The 22,454-nt window shown below is 36.6% G+C and overlaps 1 protein-coding gene across 54 annotated transcripts in view; it reads right to left on the minus strand.

Annotated features, from left to right (window-relative positions):
- ZNF438 (zinc finger protein 438) overlaps positions 1-22,454 on the minus strand; it is a 187,780-nt gene that overhangs the window by 122,498 nt on the left and 42,828 nt on the right. For 27 of the 54 annotated variants that reach the window (XM_047424729.1, XM_011519372.3, NM_001387412.1 and 24 more), the window contains exon 2: positions 17,240-17,297. The exons of 15 other annotated variants lie outside the window; for them this stretch is intronic. The gene's annotated coding sequence lies outside the window, so the exon portion shown is untranslated. Of the gene's footprint in view, positions 1-7,464; positions 10,354-17,239; positions 17,298-22,454 lie in introns of all 54 variants that reach the window. 12 more of the 54 variants (XM_047424746.1, XM_047424738.1, XM_047424740.1 and 9 more) reach the window with 2 other exon arrangements.

Genomic DNA, 22,454 nt, shown 5'->3' on the forward strand with positions numbered 1-22,454 from the left:
TAGCTGCTGACCCATTCTTATGCTCCATGGCGTAATATTTTCTTCTAAAACTTTAGAGGAAAAGGCAAAAACAGAAAGCCTTTTTGCCAACCACAAAAATTTATATACTTTAAATTGTGGGGAAAAGAAGAGCCAGTATATACTTTTAAAACCAGAGAAAAAGGAAATAAGTATCTCCCCAACGCTCAACTACAAACTTCTAACAGCTGACTAGTAAAGAAAAGCAGAAATATTGTAGTTACAGTTAAGCTGCTTTGCATCTGAGGCAACTTAAAATGATCTACTGATAAGTAGGCTAAAAGTAAGATGGTAGGGCCAAAATTTATCCTTTTAGAATTAAAACTCATTTTTAAAGTGTGTTTTAAGAAGAAAAGATGTAATCTTTAATATGGCAATAGGGTTTCATTCAACCAGAAAGTCACTAAACTACGAATGAATAGATTCAAAAATCTACAAAATTAACCTGACAACAAATATGGCTGCTAAATTTTAATTTTAAAACTAATATGTTACTGCTCTGGTGTTGTTTTAAATTAAAGGATTTCTTCTGGGACTGCAAAGGAATGAATATTTAGCCTATCTCATGAAGGAAGGAGCGATTTCTTGTCTTAAAAACAGGAGGTTCGCCTACAAGATCACCTGGGACACACTTGGCCAGTGCAAGCAGGCCAGAAGGTTACTGGAGCCTGGGAATGTTTAACATCAAGAAAGGAATTACAACTCAGTAAGATCAGAAGGAACTACACAGGAAATGTGAACAGTAACCCTTTCATAGCTCTGTACCCCCTCCCACTGCCTGTGATAAATGAAGTCCTGCTGCTGCCCAGTTATGTGAATATACAAGCCAGGAGCAGAGAGGGATGGAGAAAAAGGGGAAAAAAAGACATTTTATATATATATACACAGAGCACAGCATAAATTTATAACGGCATGATAAAATCATGCTGTTCCGCAAAACAGCCTCTAGCCTAATTGCTACATATGTACTATATCACTGCCTTACCCAACAGTGCCCTAAGTAAAAATTCCAAAGACACTTGAAGGATCAGGCAGCGGTAGGTTGATGGGATAGTTGGCAAACTCATCCTAAGTAGGGAAACGTGGCTCCTATAAAGCTGACCAAACAGGTCTCCACCCTGGCTTATGTTTAAACATCTTGTTCCTAGTCAGTCTGTAGGGAAAGCATTCTTTCCACAATAACACACAATCAAATCAGAAATTCCTACTCCATCCTTTATCTACTCTATGTAAAAGTTTCTTCAATATTCTAAGCCAGAAGCTTAGAGAATTTAACTGAATGTAAACTTTTTTTTTTTTTTTTTTTTTTTTTTGAGACGGAGTTTCGCTCTTGTTGCCCAGGCTGGAGTGCAATGGTGTGATCTCGGCTCACCACAACCTCCACCTCCCGGGTTCAAGCGATTCTCCTGTCTCAGCCTCCTGAGAAGCTGGGATTACAAACATGCACCACCACACCTGGCTAATTTTGTATTTTTAGTAGAGATGGGGTTTCTCCATGTTGGTCTGGCTAGCTCAAACTCCCGACCTCAGGTTATCCGCCCACCTAGCCCTCCCAAAGTGCTGGGATTACAGGCGTGAGCCACCGTGCCCAGCCTCTGATTGTAAACTTTATTATAGCCTAGCTATAGTGAAGGCATGGTAAAATATTTCTAGCTGTTACTTGGAAAAGCAGATGTGACCATACAGATCTTAGATACCTTTAGAGACCCGTGGTTGGGATCTGAAGAAAACAAGACACTTACCACAACTGCCTCTGGATAAAGGGGAAATGCTCAGTTTCCACAAACCAGTGAGTATGAGAGCTATTAACTGTAAAAATACACACAGTCCTCAGATGGTGAGGGCATGGGTTAGGGTAACAAAAATACAATGGAGAAAAAAGTGGCATTTCCAATGTGACACATTTAAAATATGGAATGGAATTTCATGGGTCACTTGGAAATAAGATTTTTTTTTCATTGGTATAACTTCAGGCTAGAGATGGTTTGCCACAGAGTAAGTCAAAAAAAATAAAAGAATATGGAGATGACGATGAAAATGACAACTGCCAATAAAAGTCAAAAGGATAGATTTTGAGAACTCTCCAGAAGAGGGAACAAAAAAATCAAAAGATTTTTTCCCTTGGCAAAGTGCCCCCTCCAAAGCACACATAGTCTGCTTCAACCAACAGCCTATACCCACAGTGTTTTCATATACTAAATGGCATATCACTAAATAACAGTAAATGAGATTAAACTGTAGACTTCCTAGTTGCCTTAAACAACTGATGGTTAATTTCTTGAACACTGAATAACAAATATGCAGTCTCATGACACTGTAAGAAGCTAAAGGTGCTCATTCTTTCCATGAATTCTAAATTGCTATAATACTTATATTAGGAAAACAGAACAGTGGGAAGGAAAATTTTAAACAAACCCAGAATAAACCACACTTTTGATTGGGTTTCCAGCAATAATCAGTTCCCCATTAGAATGTGGACCCCGAAGTATACCAAATGCAAGCTCAGTGGAGCTCAGTCTCCTCAGCTGAAAATGAGAGCTTACTCTGGAAATGAGCACTTCTTAACATTTTTAACCCATGTTCCATCCTATTAAACATAAAAACCTCATACTCCCATTGAATGTTATTTGTGACTTCATAACCAAAACCAAAACCAAACCAAAGCAAGGTAAGTTTTTATTGTTTTTTTTTCAGTGTCTCATCATAACCATTTACAAATTCATTTATTTACAAATACTTGCATAAATGGACAGATATTAATAATTAATGCTTTTTTAAATCTTGAAGACAAAAAAGATTTTAAAAAGCCTATGAAGAATAATGATGACAATGAAATGATATTTACTGAGACCTTTGGCAAATGATATTTACTGGGACCTTCTTCTCTCCTCCAGAGTTACTATTAATATAAATGATCCTTTCTTTACTAGCATTCAGCCAGAAGAAATGCTGGCTGATACACACACACACACACACACACACACACACACACACACATATACACACACACACATATATTAGGCCTTCAATATTTGTTAAATGTTAAAAGAGGTGATAGGTCCTCTTTTACTATTCTGAAAATAACAGAACCCTAATATAGTAACCTTTCTCAAGTAATAAAGGATAGAAGCAAGTAGGTTAAGTCTTTGGTATAGAGGTGAACTGTAGAAGCTTTTGACAACAGTTATGTTAATGAAAACAGTAAGAACACCACCTAATACTAGCACATTTATAAAACACTTAGCAATGTCTAACGTACTTTATGTAATTTCGACCCTACAGCTGTATGAAGTGAATATTATTATTTGATTAAAACAGTGTCATGAAGCTGTTCAAAGTCACACAGCTAGTTAAGCAGCAGAGCTCAGACTTAAAACTCTCTGAGAGCTATCCCATTCACTAACAGCTCTTTATTTTGTCATGAAATGTGGAAAATATCCTCATCCAAACTCCAAAATCAGCATATACATAAGCACAACCTTTTTTTCTCTCAACCTACCCAATACCCCTTTCTACCAATTCCCATAAAAATTCTTGGAGTTCCTATTGCAGCGTCTTTATGTCTTCATACTGGTATGACCAAGGGCACAATGGAAGACTTCTTTCAAAAGGGAACCACCTTCAATCTAAGTCTTGTCTCCTATAACTGTCCCCAAAATGGACATCATCACAGGCATAGGCTTTTCAAACCATTAACTAGTGAGGAAATGTCTGGGGTTGTCTGTTCCTCATTTAAAATCAGTCAAATAGGACACATACTACCACTTCATTCCTAAAAGTTGAGCAAGAATCATCCTCATATCTCCAGCTTTCTGGTTTAGCAAGCAGACACCCGACTCTGGGGACTTGGTAAAGGCCAACTGCACAAGAATAAAAAGTGTAACAGAACTGGCAGTTACAGTCTTAGCAATTTTAAAAAATCATTCCAAATGTTTTGGTAGAAATCTTATTAAAGAATGCTAAACTACTGGCATTAGTAATTTACTGTAAATGAAAGGTATACTAAAGGTAGAATTTTATTCATATAAAATAAACTATTTTACTTCTGAAGGTTATTATGAAGATGAGGCTAAATTATATGAAAAATGCTAAGCATCCCGCCTAGCTCATAGTAACTACGCAGTAAGTGTCAGCTGCTATTAGTAATACTGCAGAAGTATTAAAAATAAAACATAACAACGGAAGGCCATATTTAAAATGAACCAGCAATCAACATTCTGTGTTTAAACATCAACAAAAAACATATCCATCTGTGGTATGTATACATATATATGCATAAAAATATTTAGAAGACAATTTGGAAGAATAAATAGCAAAATGATGATCTCTGGGGAGACAGAAGGGTGGTAGTCAAATGGAACTTTAGCCTGACATAAATGCTTTTTGTTTTTTAACAAAGTATTCATGAATTTCCTCTGTAAATAATTTTATTTTAAAAAGAAAAATCATAGTTTCTTCAATTCCATAGTTGATTTCAGTATTACATGAAAAAAAGTTTACTTTTTTTATAGTTAACGTGTTCAAATTTCTAAAACCTCATTTTCTTTATTTAGTAATACTATTCAAGGCTTATGTTACAAACTGCTTTAATCTTCTTTATGATATTCCTAATTGCTATATTAAAAATATCTGCCTATGCCACCCCCCAACAATTTTATTAGGTTTTAAAACCACTCGGTGTATTTAATCAAGGTGCAAAGAGGCTTTCAAAGTCTCGGAAGCCATAAATCAAAACAGTTTCACATAAAAAGATTACCTTTTCCCCTTAAATTTTGTATGTGTTTACATTTAATAAACTACACACAGAAAGTAGAGCCCTTGATTCTTTTTTTTTTTTTCTGAGATGGAGTCTTGCTCTGTCACCCAGGCTGGAGTGCAGTGGCACAATCTTGGCTCACTGCAAGCTCTGCCTCCCAGGTTCACGCCATTGTCCTGCTTCAGTCTCCCGAGTAGCTGGGACTACAGGTGCCCACCACCACGCCTGGCTAATTTTTTGTATTTTTAGTAGATACGGGGTTTCACCTTGTTAGCCAGGATGGTCTCAATCTCCTTACCTCGTGATCCACCTGCCTCGGCCTCCCAAAGTGCTGGGATTACAAGCGTGAGCCGCCACGCCCGGCCCCTTGATTCCTTTTAAGACCAAAAGTTTACCTATTTGAAATCATTATAACAATTTAAAATGTCTTAAGGAGTGCTATAATTAAAAAACCTCTGCTTCTGTGCTCTTGCTAATTTCTAATTCTCGTTTGTACCATTTGTGACAGTTTTTATATTTTTAACTTTTCTTCTAGTTCACAGCCATAACTTTGACTTTTGCAACGTATTCTTTTTCCTTCAGATCATCTAGATTTTAGCCAATAAAGTGTGTATGAACTATGTCACAAAAGCTCTTATTAACTCCCTAAAAACAGCAAATAGTGGGCCTTTTGTGGCTCAGGCATGGAGGTAAGCCACATGCACCATGGGCCAGACTCAGCCTGGGCCCCTTCAATTTACAAATCCAGCTTAAAATATATTACAGGCCTCTACTGTTGTCCAAAAAGACCAAGACTTCAATGATGACAGAGAGAAAGCAGCCTCATACTTGAATAGGAGGACACTGGGCTGAATAGGAAATCCCTACCTCAAAGAGCCATGGGATTCAATGATTATGGGAGGCCATGCAATCTCTTTTTAATAGATTTAAAGTTCAAGAAAGACTTTTACTGTAACTTAATAGGGAACAATGTTTGATCAAAAGGTGTCTCCCTTTAATTTCAAATTTAAAATTCTAGATATAATTTGTAGCTAGTAGAGGGCAATTCAATCATCATCATCATCATCATCATCTTCATCATCAGCTGAATACAGAAAGCACATGTATCAACAATTTTTTTTTCCTTCCAGATGCTCAGCTATGGACTCATTAATATAAAGCAGCTATACCTACAAAAACATACAATAATGTTTCCTCCAGTAGTTAACGCTGTAGTTCTAGAAGACTTAAAGACTGCAGAAATCTGAAAGTATAGGCACCTTGAGGCTGCCTCACTCTAATCTCAGAACACAGTCAATCCCACACATTCTATTATTCTCCCCTGTATGCCCTCATGTACCTGGCACTCTAGTTACCTATTTATTCATATCCCTCAGGACTATAAATGCCTTGAGAACAGAGACTCAATCTTCTCTGCCTTACTTTGTAAGTCCTGCTGCCTTGCATAGAGTAGATGCTCCACAAAAACTGAATGAAACATAATAAATATTAGCCATTTATATGTTGGCCTCACCCAAGTTCCTGAGGGCAGACTTTACTGAATGTTGATCTCTGCATCCCTACCAGAGCCTACCATACAGTGGCACTTAAAAGCCTATCACATATATTTTTAAATTCAAGTTTCTAATTTATTTTGAATTTTATTTGCATTTATTCAATTCATGATACGTGTTTACTAAAACAAAACACATTTCTGAAATGAAACAACTCTCTCCCACCCCCGGAAGCTCTTGATAGAGAGGGAAATAAAACTTTTCAACTAATTTTTAGTCCTCAATGTGATGACTACAGAGAAGAAAAGCGACCAAAGCCCACTGTCCAGTCTTTTCTGTGCTGTTCCGGTGGCTCTTCCTCCAGAATCCGGGCAGAACAAAGTCTTTCTTCAAAAAGAGTCACCCTTTGCTGCATAGATTTTATTCAGTCAGCACTCGTTCCCAGCTCTTTCACAACTGTGACATGTTCATTATTTGAAAACTCTCTCTGCCCACCCTGCGTGTGACCATGCCCAGCTCAACTTACAACAGATAGCCAGCTAGGGCAGCATCGTGTTACTGCCCTTGTGAAACACAACTTTAGTGCTAGCAGCCGTTTCACCACTCAGGAGTTCAATGAAAGATGTTCAGTGTGACCTGCAGCCTAATGGCTGATTGGTAGCACACAACAGGCCTACCTCCCAGTACCCTCAATTTTGAGACACACACATATCCCAGTGGAAAAGGTGATAACCTTCTGGGAATCTAGATAAATAGTTCTGTCAAGTTTTCTCCAGGAAAAAATGGTGATTTAACATTCCCAGCTAGGTGCAGGTGCTCAGGCCTATAATCCCAACATTTTGGGAGGCCAAGGCAGGAGGATTGCTTGAGACCAAGAGTTTGAGATCAGCCTGTTTAAGACAGGGAGACCCCATCTCTATAAAAAAATTAGCCGAGGCTGGTGATGCGTGCCTGTAGTCCCAGCTACTCAGGGGACTGAGGTGGGAGGATCGCTTTAGCCTGGGAGTTCAAGGCTGCAGTAAGCTATCATCAAGCTATTGCACTCTAGCCTGGGTGATGGAGTAAAATCGTTTCAAGAAAACAAAAACAGAACAAGCAACAACAACAACAAACATTCCTCTGAGTCACTCTAGTACCAGATTATTTCCATGTGTTACAATAGGGACAATCGACTGCAACATGCGTCATGTCACTTACCTAATACGAAGTCAGAACATAAACATGTGAGCCATATATGATTCCTTCTTCTAATCCTCCTGTTCAAAGCAGTAAGATAAATGGTTTATTCCTCTTGACTTTACAAAATGAAATTAAAAATAAAAATGCTATTGAGTAGAAACCTCCTTGTTCTACCCTGGTCCTCTGGTCAGACACAGAATTTTAAAGTTAGAAAGGATCTTTGAGTCAGATTCCTCATTTAATAAATCTAGTCTGAGACTCACAAAAGTTAAATGGTTTGCCACAGTTAGAAACAAGAACAGAGAACCAAAATTAGAATAAAGGTCTCCTGCCTCCTCAGCCCATGTGCTTTCCAGAATACCACACTAAATCCAGTCTCTTGCCAAGAACTTCACCCTAACCTGATAATCCTGGAGAGGCTGTTCTCAGCTTTACTTCACTCCCTACCTCTTGGTAGTCTAGCTACATAATCATCCACTAAAAAAGAAAAAAAAATTAAAGAGAAGCCTTCCATGTCTAAAAGTAACTTAGTGACAGCATTGTTTTCTTAAAGATATAATATTACCCCTAGCAACTGCTACAGAGTTCTTCCTTCCCCACTGTTTCCAAGACAAGACTGAATGTCCTCTAAGACCCTGCTTCCCTAAATGGTCCTCAAGCATGTTCTGAAAAAAACTAGGAAAGCCCCATACAAGGTCCCTTATTATACAGAGAGAATGAAGTTGGTGCCCATTTGAGAGGAGGTCAGATGACTAGGCACATTCAAGATGGGGAAAACAGTCTTAGAGACTCGAAAGCAATAGAGGACAGCTTCTGTCACTGAACAAATACCAATGAGAATCTAAGTGCCACGCCCTGTGTTACCTGATGCAGTAATTGACAGGGACATCTTAGGACACAAGCTTACAAGCTACTAAATAACTGGTAATTCTCCCCATAAAACCCATCACCATAAAATCCATTAATCCAATAATCCTAAACATGTTCCAGACCTTAGACTTTGCTACAGAAAATACCAAATACATAATTTGGTATCTTAATTTCACATCTGACTATTTCTACTTCTTTTCTCCTAGTCTAATGAGCAAAGAAATAGTTCGAATGTGGGCAACAGAAAAAATGAAAACAGTATTTTTTAAAGATATAATATGAAAATAAATCAAAATAATAAGTAATAGGATATCAGAATATAATTTTGATGGTTTAAGATTCCTTTTGATAAATACTTGAAAAAGTAGAAATTAAGGTTGTGACAACTTAGGGTTTTCATATTCTTTATGCCCATATAAAAGTTAATAAAATAAATTGTGCATAAATTATTTAAAATTATAATTTAGTAACAGTCTTGAGTTAAAAATCTTAGATCATATTAATGAAAACAGAGAAGCAGATAAGTAAAAACATATTAAATTTCTCATTTATCAAGAGATACCATCCTATTCTTAACTGTTAATGATAGGTGTCATATAAATTTAAAGTTAAAAAAATATTTAAAATAATCCTTAGTTTTCAAAGCCTTAGATGCACAATAAGTTAAAAATGAAAACCAAATTAAACATAAAACTTTAAATCAAAACAGCAAAAAATCCAAAACACAATGAAAACAAGGAAGAATTTCAAACAAAAAGCTGAAAAGATCAATAAAACCAATCAGAACAATTTGGAAACAAATTTAAATGCATTAAATATTTGTTAAGAGACAAAGTTCTTTTTAGGATAAAAAATAAAATCCAAGTATGTTCTACTTTTAGGAAACATATCTAAAAGTAATGACAAAGAAAGTGTAAATATAACGGGAAGCACAGATTTATGGAGAAATATAAACTAAGGTAGCAATATCAATGTCAGCTAAAACAAAACACAAGTCATAAATTAGAAAGTCATGGCTGGGTGCAGTGGCACACACCTGTAATCCCAGCACTTTGGGAGGCTAGGCCAGAAGGATCGCTTGAGGCCAGAAGTTCAAGACCAGTCTGGGCAATATAGCAAGGCCCTATCTCTACAAAAAATTAAAAGGAAAAATTAGCCAGGTGTAGTGGCACACTTATAGTACCAGCTAGCCAGGAGGATTGCCCACTTGAGCCCTAGAGATTGGAAGGTGCAATGAGCTATGATCGTGCCTCTGCATTCCAGCCTTGGTGACAAAGCAAGACCCTTTATTTAATAAAAAAAAAAAAAAGAAGTCATATTACTCTGATAAAAGGTATAATCCTCAATTGAGATGCTGACAGTAAATAACACATAACACATTAACACATACACCAAAATAAAAACTTATAGAACTACAAATAATTAAAATTGACGGAAGAAATCAGTGATTTACAACTTTAAGCCTTTGAGAGATCAGACAAAAAAATAATAAAGTTCAACAACATAATAGGTATTTAGGTATCTCATAAAGAAAACTTCTTTAAAAAGGTCTGTGTAACTTTACGAAAACTGATCATAGGCTAGTCCAGAAATACAACCATAAAAATCTAGAAAAGCAGAATGCCATATATTAACATCATTCTATTATTAATACCAAAAGCTTAAAAGTAACTTGGAAATTTGCAAAACATTCTCTCAAATAATTAATCAAAAAGGAACTCTTGGCATGTAATCATATGTATTTTAAAAACTACTTTAATTGAGAATACCATACCAATATATAGACAATATAGCAAACAGTATAAAGAAAAACTTAAAACTCTGAAATGCTTTCCATTTTATATTAGCGTATAAACTTTCTGCCATAACAAAGAGACTCAAAAGTAGCTCAAGTGAGAAAGAAATTCTTCTTTTTCATGCCAAAATATGGGGTGACAGGGGAAGGTGTGTTTCACAAGATCATCTGTGGACCCAGGCTGGCCCTGCCATCTTCCACGTGGTTTCCAAAGTAGTTTCCAACTAAGATGGCTACTGTAACTGGTGTAACATCCCAGCCAGCAGAAAAGGAAAAAAGAAAGTCTAGGGTAAGTGGCTTGTCTTAACAGAGGTGATCTTACACACATTACCATTAACCTCTCATTAGTCACACAGCCACATGTTGCTGTAAAAGAAGCAGAGAAGCACAGTTTCTAGATAGGGAGCCATGTGCTTAGCTAAACTCTAGGGGATCCATTCCTAAAGGAAGAAATAGATTCTGGGCCCGGCACGGTGGCTCACGTCTGTAATACCAACACTTTGGGAGGCCGAGGCTAGCGGATCGCAAGGTCAGGAGTTCGAGACTAGCCTGGCTAATATGGTGAAACCCCATTTCTACTAAAAATACAAAAACTAGCCGGGCATGGTGGCGGGCACCTGTAGTCCCAGCTACTCAGAAGGCTGAGGCAGAGAATTGCTTGAACTTGGGAGGCCGAGGTTGCAGTGCACCGAGATCGTGCCACTACACTCCAGGCTGGGTGACAGAGCAAGACTCCGTCTCCGAAAAAAAAAAAAAGATTCTAAGGGACATTGGTATGTTGGTATGTCTTCTAACCAGTTTTTCTAGTTAAAAAACATGAAATAAAAGTCAACTCAAGAAGTTAAGAACACGAAAGCAGAACCAAGAACCAGTTGTAATTATTTCATTTTATCTGGCTGCTTCTTAGTGTCCAGGGTACTACCAAACATCGATTCAAGAAACTGGAAATGTACACCAATTCATTCCGAGGATTCCAATACATCAAACTACAGACTAGACAGTATATTGAGAATTCGTCTACTCTCTTTCCTTATTTAGGGACTTTTAATTCATATATTCTTTATGTATATTGTATACACTGATTTATCTAAATGGATTTTTCAGGATGACTAAGTTTTAGCATTACACAAAGGTCTTCTAACATTAGACAGAAGTTAATCTTTTGCTAGTAAAACAACTTTCAAAATTTGTGTACCAGGGTTTTTTTAAGCATTGTTACTGAGATAATAGTTTACATATAATAAAATATATAAATTTTAAGTGTACTTTTCAGTGGGTTTGGACAAATTTATATCTCCATATAATCACCACCAGAATCAAGATATAGAACACAACCATTATCCCAAAAAGTTCCCTTGTACTGCCTCCAGATCAGTCACAACCCACCCTTAGCTGCATGCAACAACTTGTCCACTGTTTGTCACCATACAGTAAATTTATCTCTTCTCACACTTCTGATATACTAACCTAGAGCAGTAAATGGAATCAGTTGTGGTGTTCTGTATCTGGCTTATTTTACTCAGTATAATGTTTTTGAAGTTTATCCATATTTCTAGTGTGTATTATTTTCAAAATGGTAAATGAACATTGGCTTCAAGTCACCAGCTGCATTAGCCCCTAGCAAGAGAGTCAGCTTCTCCTTTGAAGCTTTGAAGCCAAGCATTGACTCTCCCTCTCTAGCTATGAAAGTCTTATATGATATCGTCTTCGAATATAAGGCTGTTTCATTTGCATTGAGGCCATTAAGAATTATGCTAGGGCCATGAATAATTATGCTAAATCTACACTACTCTGTAAATGGAACAACAAAGCCTGGATGACAGCATGTCTGTTTACACTATGGTTTGCTGAATAGTTTAAGCCCACTGTTGAGAGTCACTGTTCAGAGAAAAAGATTCCTTTCAAAATATTATTGCTCAATGAAAATGCACCTAGTCACCCAACAGCTCTAATGGAGATGTACAAGGACATTAATGTTGTTTTCATGCCTGCTAACATGATATCCATCCTGCAGCTTACGGAACAAAAAGTAATTTCAGTTTTCATTCCATGCTCATGGATAGGAAGAACCAATATCACGGAAATGGCCATACTGCCCAAAGTAATTTATAGATTCAATGCTATCCCCATCAAGCTACCACTGCCTTTCTTCACAAAACTGGATAGAACTACTTTAAACTGCATATGGAACCAAAAAAGAGCCTGCATAGCCAAGACAATCCTAAGCAAAAAGAACAAAGCTGGAGGCATCATGCTACCTGACTTCAAACTATACTACAAGGCTACAGTAACTAAAACAGTATGGTACTGGTACCAAAACAGATACATAGACCAATGGAACAGAACAGAGGCCTCAGAAATAACATCATGCATCTACAACCATCTGATCTTTGACATATCTGGACTTCTTGGTCCAGAGCTGAGTTCAAGTCCTGGATATCCTTGTTAATTTTCTGTCTCATTGATCTAATATTGACGGTGGGGTGTTAAAGTCTCCCACTATTATTGTGTGGGAGTCTAAGTCTCTTTGTAGCACTCTTTAAACTGAGGAGAAATCTCTCTCTGTAACTTTTCCCCATTGATTCTAGCTATGACTTTCTGTAGATCTAAATCCAGTCCTTCTTATTCTTGAAAGCAATCCAAATTACCAAAACTAGGAATGCTAAAGCTGTAATATTTTTATTGTGACTCTACTGATACATGTGCTAGAGAGTCTTGGATATGCACTTTTCTTCTCTCTAAATCTACCTCCACTGGTACTAGGCTAAACTGGTTGGAGTGAGGGGTGTGGGATCACGGAACCAGGAGAAGCTAGCTGATTACAAATGGACTTGGGAGTATCTAAGGAATAGCAAGAAGGCATGTGTGGCTAGAGGAGAGTGAGCAAGACAGTGAGTGACAGGAGATAAAGTCAGCAGGCCTGTTAGAACATGTGAGACAACGTTTCATCCTGTGTGTGCTGGGTAGCCACTGAAGGGTTCTGAACAGAGGAATGACAGAAACTGTTTAACATTAAAAAAAAAAAAAAAAACACCTTTTACTCCTATATGGAGGACTGACTGGAGAGATACAATGAGGAGATAAGGAAGGCCGGTTAGAAGACGATATTATCACCTAGGTGACTTATGACAGTGACTTACAATAGGGCAGTAAGGGTGAGGAGTGGGGTAGGAGTAATTTGGGATACATTTTGAAAGGCAGGCATATAAGCCTTACTAATGGACTGGATGTGGGATATGGAATAAAAAGTCACACATGACTTTGAGTTTTTGGCCTGGAACAACTGGGTATATCACTTACCCAGGGAGAAAAGTTCAAGATTTACATTTTAGACATACTAAGTTTGAAATGTTTATTAGACTCCAAAATGGAGATGTTGAAAAGACATAAAAATAAGTCTAGAACTCATGGGAGAGACCAAAGTAAAGAAATTGTAAATTTGGGAGAACAGATGGCATTTAAAACATGGGATCATATGAGATCGTGTGGAAAATAAATACAGAAGGCTAAGGACTGAGCCCTGAGAAATGTCAACTTTTAGAGACCATAAAGAAGAGAAGATAGCAAAGGAGATTTTGTACTTTTATGACTCTTCCTCAAAAAGAAGTTAGAATTATTTTATGTCTACAAACTATGAAGTCCATAGCCAACCATCATAATCCTCTTCAAAAACCACTTTTTAGAGTCACATGCCTACTCTATTTCTGACTCCTGACCAACTAACAATCTGAATAGCTACATTTCACCTGTCAGCTGTTCAACTACCCCATCCCTGGTCTCTGGCATGTGTTGCAGTTTCTGGATCAAAGTTTTCACAACAGCTAGGAACTTCTAGTTGTCCAACAGTTACCAGGAGGCACGTGGAGAGCATGTTCCCCAGAGCTGCCAAAAGTTCTTGGCATATGATCAACGAAGCACACAATGAATGAGTGTTCAGCAATTAATCAGGTGACAGAGAACAACTGACATGTTAGGGGACTGCAGAATGAGCCAGAGTAAAGCTAGACAAGAAACACAAGTCCTTACTCCAGGCTGCTCACCCCAGGAGAATCCACTCTAGGTCACCCAGTGTGATCAGATATTCTTACCTAGAAAAGCTGAAATAATCCGAAGTTTACTACGTGTTTATGGAAACATGACAGCATTTCCTGGGAGCTGCTTATATCATGAACAAACAGTAGGTACTGTACATAATAGGCACTTGTTCTGTCCGCCTCCCCATCTCAGAATTAGACTGGAGACAGCTCTTCTCTCTCAGCCTCATCTGTAAAGGGAATTCCAGCCTATCTCATAGGTAATTATGAAGATTATATGAGATAATGTAAGTAAAGTGCCTGGTACATAGAAAATGTTCAGGCCGGGCGTGATGGCTCACACCTGTAATCCCAGCACTTTGGGAGGCCGAGGCAGGGGGATCATGAGATCAGGAGTTCGAGACCAGCCTGACCAACATGGTGAAACCATGTCTCTACTAAAAATACAAAAAAAATTAGCTGGGCTGGTGGCGTGCACCTGTAATCCCAGCTGCTCAGGAGGCTGAGGAAGGAGAATTACTTGAACCCGGGAGGTGGAGGTTGCAGCAAGCCGAGATTGTGCCATTGCACGCCAGCATGGGTGACAGAGCGAGACTCCATCTCAAAAAAAAAAAAAAAGTTCAATATATACTAGCTATTCTTATTTACACTTTGATGACCACAAATTACAATCAGCTGAATGGTAAGCATGTCCCTAAAAACAATACTTTTAATGCTCTTCTAGCACAGAATAATAAGTTTTTCTTGTTTGCTTGTTTTGTGTGAACTATTACATGATCAATGTAATTTAAACTTGGCCTGAGAAAACCATCCTTTTTCTCTTTCTTTTTTTTTTTTTTATTTTTGAGATGGAGTCTCGCGCTGTCACCCAGGCTGGAGTACAGTGGCGCGATCTCGGCTCACTGCGAACTCCGCCTCCCGGGTTCACACCATTCTCCTGCCTCAGCCTCCTGAGTAGCTGGGACTACAGGCACCTGCCACCACGCCTGGCTAATTTTTTGTATTTTTAGTAGAGACGGGGTTTCTCCATGTTAGCCGGGATGGTCTCGATCTCCTGACCTCGTGATCCACCTGCCTCAGTCTCACAAAGTGCTGAGATTATAGGCATCAGCCACCGCGCCCGGCCATCCTGTCTTTTTCTCAACTTCCCAACCAAGGTTAGCACAATCATGTTAAACAACTAAAAAATAGATTATAATTCTTTAACTATAATTCTATTAACATGAGACTGTTAACACCAATTCTGGCTAAAGACTACCAAGCAACACAGAAATTTCCAAGCCGGACAATTATTCTGCAAGAGTTATTCAGGCATGGGTCTGTTGTTTTAAGTGTCTATATCCTTTAAGTATAATATATTTATATTTCCCTTTATGAAATTTAACTAAAATCATTAAATTTGGCAGCAGAAGCAGGAAACCATCTACAAGACCTGCATGGCTACTTTACTTTTATTAATGAAAAGTTACATAAGAGTTTCAGCAAACTACAAAGTTTCCTTCTTATAAGTCTTTTAATATTTATAGAAATTTAAAATAGTTATCATGCTAGAGTCCATTTTAGAAACTGAGAATTTCTATTATCTGACAGCAATAGATTCTGTATTATTTTAGCTCAATTACAGAAATGGATATGTAAGAATTATATTCATCTTTATTCGTACTTGTTAACAATACATCTACCATGTCTACTACTTGACCTAGAAGCTCAAGTAGTGTGACTGAACAAAACTACACTAACAGGGTCTCAACCCCAAACCACTGAGTCACATTATTGGACTTTTTTCTCTAAACAATACACTAAAGAAAAGAAAAAGAAGTGTACTGGGAACCATTTAAAGGGCCTGCTTGGAATAACAGAAAAAGTTACACAAAAGGACCAAAGAACACAAGTGGCTTAAAGTATCAAAGAGAAAGCCTGTAACCAAGTACGAGGAGATGTCCGCAAACACCATGCCCATTGTATCAGTCCTTTCTTGCGCTGTTATAAAGAACTATCTGAGACTGGGTAATTTATAAAGAAAAGAGGTTTAGTTGGTTCATGGTTCCTCGAGCTGCACAGGAAGCATGGTTGGGGAGGCCTCAAGAAACTTTCAACCACAGCGGAAGGCAAAGGGGAAGCAGGTACATCTTACATGGCTGAAGAGGAATAGTGTGAAGGGGGAGGTGTTACACACTTTTAAACAACCGGATCTCATGAGAACTCACTCACTATCACAAGAACAGCAAGAAGGAAATTCGCCCTCATGATCCAATCACCTCCCATCAGGCCCCTCCTCCAACATTGGAAATTACAATTTGACATGAGATTTGGGCAGGGACACAAATCCAAAGCATATCACCAATGTTAAAAAAATAAAATTGCATACTTCCTATAAACTGAAAAATGAAACCTATAGCCATGTATTTCCTTGAATCGTTTTTATGTAATCTGGATTTTTCAAATTATTTTTTTTATTTTTTTAAACCATGGTCCAGAAAATCTACTTCTAAACTATACATTTTGAATCAATAAACTGACTTTTGTGCTTCAAGTAAACTTATTTTGAAATAATTTTAGATTTACAAGATAGATACAAAAATAGTATAGACTTCCTATACACCCTTCATCCAGTTGTCCATAAAGTTAAACATCTTACATAACCACAGGACATTTGTCAAAACTAAGAAATTAACATTGATTAATTTCTAATTGATTACTATTAACTATAGACTTCATTTATATTTCACCTGTTTTTCTACTGTCTTTCTTTAGTTCCTAGGTATAACCCAGGGTACCATATTGCATTTAATTATTTTTTCTAATGCTCTAAATTTTGCTACATGCCATACTTCTATGTCTTATAAACAATATCTTCATTGTAATTATTATACAAATAAGCCTAAAATTCCCTGGGAAATATGATTTGTTAGCTATTAGGGAAATGTTACATGAAGATTCATGTAAATGTGATATTTCTACAAATGTTATACTGAAGAGAAAAGAGTTAATTGCTGAAGTAAGATATGCCCCACTGTCTACTTTGCCAGGAACCTATGAGATCAAATTACTTAATGTTTCAGAAATCTCTCTTCAAAAAATGCTTGTCACTTACCTATATCCCAAGGCTCCTGTAGAGTCATAAGATATACCGTAAATCCTTTTAATTAATTCTGTAACAATACAAAGTATTATTATAATCATATTCAGATAATCCATTTTCATCAAATATATGTAAAAGGTGCCTTCTTTTCAAGTTTCATTTTTAATTACTGTATATTTTTATTAAGATAATAAAAGAACTAATGTAGAAGAAAATAATTCCATAGTTGATTACATGTCTTTAGTTTAAAAATGAAAGCATGCAAAATTTAATAAAAGTTTTAAGATAAATAGAAAATGTTCCAGAAAAAAAGAAATGCCACAATGAATAAAACTGGCTAAGAAGAATGCTTCACATTCTTTTCCATGTGCATAATACTGTGGAAATTAGTAAACAGTCACAAACAAGTGATTCATATTCAGGGCGCAGCCTTTTTGACAGGAAAACAGTAATCAAGAGTTTGGGATTTGAAGATTTTTAAAAGGACACATGTCTAGTAAAGTGTGTCAGTTTGCCTGAGACAGTCCCAATTTACGGCCATTGTCCCAGTGTCCCACAAATTTACCATTTGTCCTGGATTTTTCATTTTCTAATGATTTTTTTTAATGATAGCATTAAAATATGCTAAGACTTACTTGTACTTTTAGGCTCTGCCATAATCTCATTGAGCCATGTGTGAGATGCATGTGCAATGAAGCCAGTTGTCAATTTCGCAACTTGCTTAAATCTTTAAGACACCTAGCAGTAACCCATTTCTAAATGTACTAAATGTACTGTAACTGATACTTCATTCTTAAAGACAGCACCCAGGCACCATGCAGAAAAAGTATACCTAGGCAGGAGCAGGTAGGGACAGCTAACTCCTCCAGTCTTGAATGAAGGTAGAAGAAATACTGAATACTGCTCCCTGCTCATGGCTAGCTTAAAGACACGGATTTAATGAAAGCAGACAGGACAGAGAAAGTGTTTTACGTATTATTCTCTAAAGCATGACTTTTCATCTAGATCCAATGACTTTTTAAAAAAATGCACTTAGTTCTGATTCTAAAGCGTCTCTTTTACATCATCAAAGTAAAGTGAAAACTGGTTGGCTCCATTAACAGAAAAACTCACAGTTAAATGTTGCCAGCTTTCTGTCAGCATCAGGAGATGTACCAACCAGAAAAATCAGTTAATTCCAATAATGGTTTGATGATTTCATCTAATTCATGAAACCAAAGTAAAGCTTTTGGAAGTTCATTCTGTAGAATATGAAACACTTGACATTGCTTTAATTGCTACTTAAAAATCAGTTTAGAAGTTCAACAACAAAGACAAAATTACCGTTGGTTCTCCTTATTCACAGTAGTTAAGTTCTATGAAGTCACCATGAACACTGAATTAGGGAATACCAAACTGTTTACTCATAAGGGAAATTCAGGGTTGGGTTCCTGAGAGCTCCTGAGAGCCTCTGATTACATTTTAATTAGCTGATCAAACATAACCTCATTTTATGTATATTTCTGTTTCAAGATACCTTATTAATATATAGTCATCCACTGCATGATGTGTCAGTCAACAACAGACTGCATATATGATGGAGGTGGTCCCATAAGATTATCAAGCTATATTTTCACTGTACATTTTCTATGTTTAGATAAATAAATATTTACTATTGTGTTACAATTGCCTACGAATTCAGTATAGTAACACACTGTACAGGTTTGTAGCCCAGGAACAAGAGGCTATACCAAATAGCCTACGTGTATAGTAAGCTATAGATTCATATCAGTACACTCTATGATACTTTCACAATGACAAAATCACCTAATGATACATTTCTCAGAATTTAACCCTGTTGTTAAGCAATGTATGGCTGTTCACTGTTGAGTCACTAACACTGAACTCATAGCCAACAGCACTATAAGTTTATCTATCACATGCATTTTCTCCTTAAGGCACATCACAGCCTTCTTGCACTTAGGCGCAATATACAGCACTTCAGTTCCACACTGGGTAGTCATTTTAAACACAGAAATCATAAGCCTAAAAAAGCAAAAATCATGGCACTATATAAACCACAAAAAGGAGACTTGTTTACCGTATGAGAGCTGAAGGAAATCAGCTTGTCAACTAGGAATGTGTTGAGCAATCCAAATTTTTCACCATTCTGTACCATTTGCAGTCATGCACTCAGTTGAATGCCTAGTGTCATGAGTATTGATTTTGCAGTTACAAATAAATTTTATAGGTTCAGTATCCCTTACCCTGAAATGTTTGGGGTCGGAAGTGTTTTGAATTCAGAGTTTTTAAAAATTTTGAAACATTTGCATTATATACTTATTGAGTATCCCTAATCCAAAAATCTGAAATCCAAAATGCTCCCATGAGTATTTCATTTGCGCATGACCCTTGAGGATTGTGTTGAGCATCATGTTGGCACTCAAAAAGTTTAGGATTTTAGAGCATTTCTGATTTTAGATCAGAGATGCTCAATCTGTAGTAAGCAGACGAATTCATGAAAACAAAATCTGTGAATAATAAGGGTCAATTCTATTTGTTTTTACAGTGATAACACAATTACAAACCTTGGTTGAGTACAGCATCATAGAAAGAACAATGTTCTTACTAAATTTAAAAAATGGTGAAACAGAAATAAACTTGGACTTGGCTGTGGTTCACATATAATTCACAGCTGTGCCCAAAACTGCAATATATTACCAATCAAAATTGGGGGAAACATATTTTACAACTGAATCCACAAAAGATGTGACATTCTACCAATTAAAATTTACAAACGTTTATACACACACACAGGGTTAAAAAAATTGAACTAAGGCTGGGTGTGGTGGCTCACACCTGCAATCCCAACATTTTGGGAGGACGAGATGGGAGGATTGCTTGAGCTTGGGTGGTCAAGGCTGAAGTAAGCTGTGATCACACCATTGCACTTCAGCCTGGGCAACAGAGTACACCCCTGTCTCAAAAAAAAAAAAAAAACTAAAATATTTGTGACAAAGCTGATGCTGAATTAAAAAAAAAAAATTCCAGCATGATAGTCCATGTTTTCTTTTTGTTATCTATCTTAGAATTCTTTGAGGCTTAGACTTTGCAAAATCATCAACATAACGGATGATTTTCATTCAAACATTACATTCAAAGTCAGTTGAAAATAGCTATGGACTAAACGTTTGTGTCACCTTAAATTCTTATGCTGAAGCCCTAATACCCAATGTGATGGTATTCAGAGGTAGTGCCTTTAATTAGCGTTAGATTAGGTCATGTTGGTGGGGCCCTCCTGATGAGATTAATGCTGTTATAAAAAGAAACAGATCTCTCTCTCTCTCCCCACCCACCACCCCCCATCCAAGTGCACACACCCAGGAAGGGCCATGTGAGGACATAATGAGAAGATCAAACCAGGTCTGCAAACCAAGAAGCAGGCCCTCACCAGAAACTGATCTGCTGGTGCCTTGATCTTTGACTTTCCAGCCTTCCGAACCGGGAGAAATGAATTGTTGTTTAAGCCACCCAGTATGTCATATTTTGAGAGAGCAGCCCAAACTAAGACAGAAATCTTTTATTCAAGATTTAATTTTTATGGCGAACTTACTTTTTTACTTAAATAAGTTTATATTATGTACTAGAATAAAATGAACTTGAGAATGCCTACAATTTAGCAGCATCTAAATTTGGTTAAGATGTTTAAAAGATTTCCATAATAGACACAATTTATTTGACAAGTTTGTCATAAAAATTTTATTGAATAAAGGTGCTGTAAATCGAGTTTACTGTTTTTTTTAATAGTAGCTTTGAAAATGTATGTGCTAGAATATTTACATATTAAACTATTACAAAATAAAATTTAATAGAATTTGCTTTGAACTTACCAGGTACCTCATTATCGACATAGAGATTACATTCTCAAATTTAAAAATCACAATTTATATAGAAAACAGTAACTTGAAAAAAATCAATAATTTCAAATGTAGCAATCACAAAATGCAACCTGAAAAAGACTACAATTTTATGAAGCAATTAAAGATAAAATACAACCGTATTTTTAAAATTTTTTTTCCAGGAAAATACAGAGAGCTGTATTCTGTGGAGCTCCTTAGTACTTTCTAATCTCCCTTATGTAGTATATTATTAGTCAGGGTTCTCCAGAGAAAGAGAGAGATAACAAGATTATAATTATTGTACCTAATAAATATATTAGTACAAATTATAGCTAAGAAACTAAATAATGTAAGCTTTTACTGAGAATTATATTTACGCTATTTTTAATGTTAAAACAGTTTTGCTTTAATGAATATAGCTATATGTTAATATGTTTTAGAAATAACTTTATTTTTAAAATAATTTCTTAATAGGACTATTTTATAGGTTCGCCAATATGATGAAACCAATTTGTCAGTCAAGCAATAAAATTATATAAGTTTACAGTTTTTTAGAAAGAATATCAATTTTGGCAATAAACAGTTAACCTAGATGTGACAGTTAATTTTATGAGTCACTTTGGATAGGTTATGATGGCCAGCTGTTTGGTATAACACTAATCTAGATGTTGTGTGAAGGTCTCTGTGGATGTAATTAACATTTATAATTAGTTGACTTGAAATAAAGCAGACTCCATACTGTGGTGGGCCTTATTCAATCAGATGAAGGCCTCAACAGCTAAGATAAAAGTTACCTGAAAAAGAGGCAAGTCTACATCAAGATGGTAACATAGAAATGCTGAGTTTCCAGCCTACTAGCCTATTTTGCAATTTTTACACTCAAGACCATTACCAACTCTTACTTAAGTATATAGCCTGCTGCTGTATTCTACATGTTTGATTTGCCAACTCCCAAAATCCTGTGAGCCAATTCCTTAAAATAAACTCTATATCTTTCTCTTGTTCTCTCTCTGTTTCTCTGGAGAACCCTGACTAATAATATACTACGTAAGGGAGATTAGAAAGTATTTAAGGAGCTCCACCAAAAGGAAGCTGCTCCCTGATAAGAGTAGAGAGAAAGGGTTTTATTTTAAGAAACATGCAAGTAAAGAAGAATTAACATTAGCATTAACTTCTTTTAAAGAAGAACAGAATCCCAGATTCTATGGCCACATCTTCCTATACCAGAATGATACATAACCCAATAACCCTGACCCTTAGCTTTCAGAGAACAGGGACATATCTTACATCTCTTTGTATCCCCTTTCTAGCAGTGAGTGTGAGACAGAGAAGATGCTCTAAATGGTTGC

Source organism: Homo sapiens, chromosome 10 (assembly GCF_000001405.40).
Source record: "Homo sapiens chromosome 10, GRCh38.p14 Primary Assembly".
In the NCBI taxonomy this organism is placed as follows: Eukaryota; Metazoa; Chordata; class Mammalia; order Primates; family Hominidae; genus Homo; species Homo sapiens.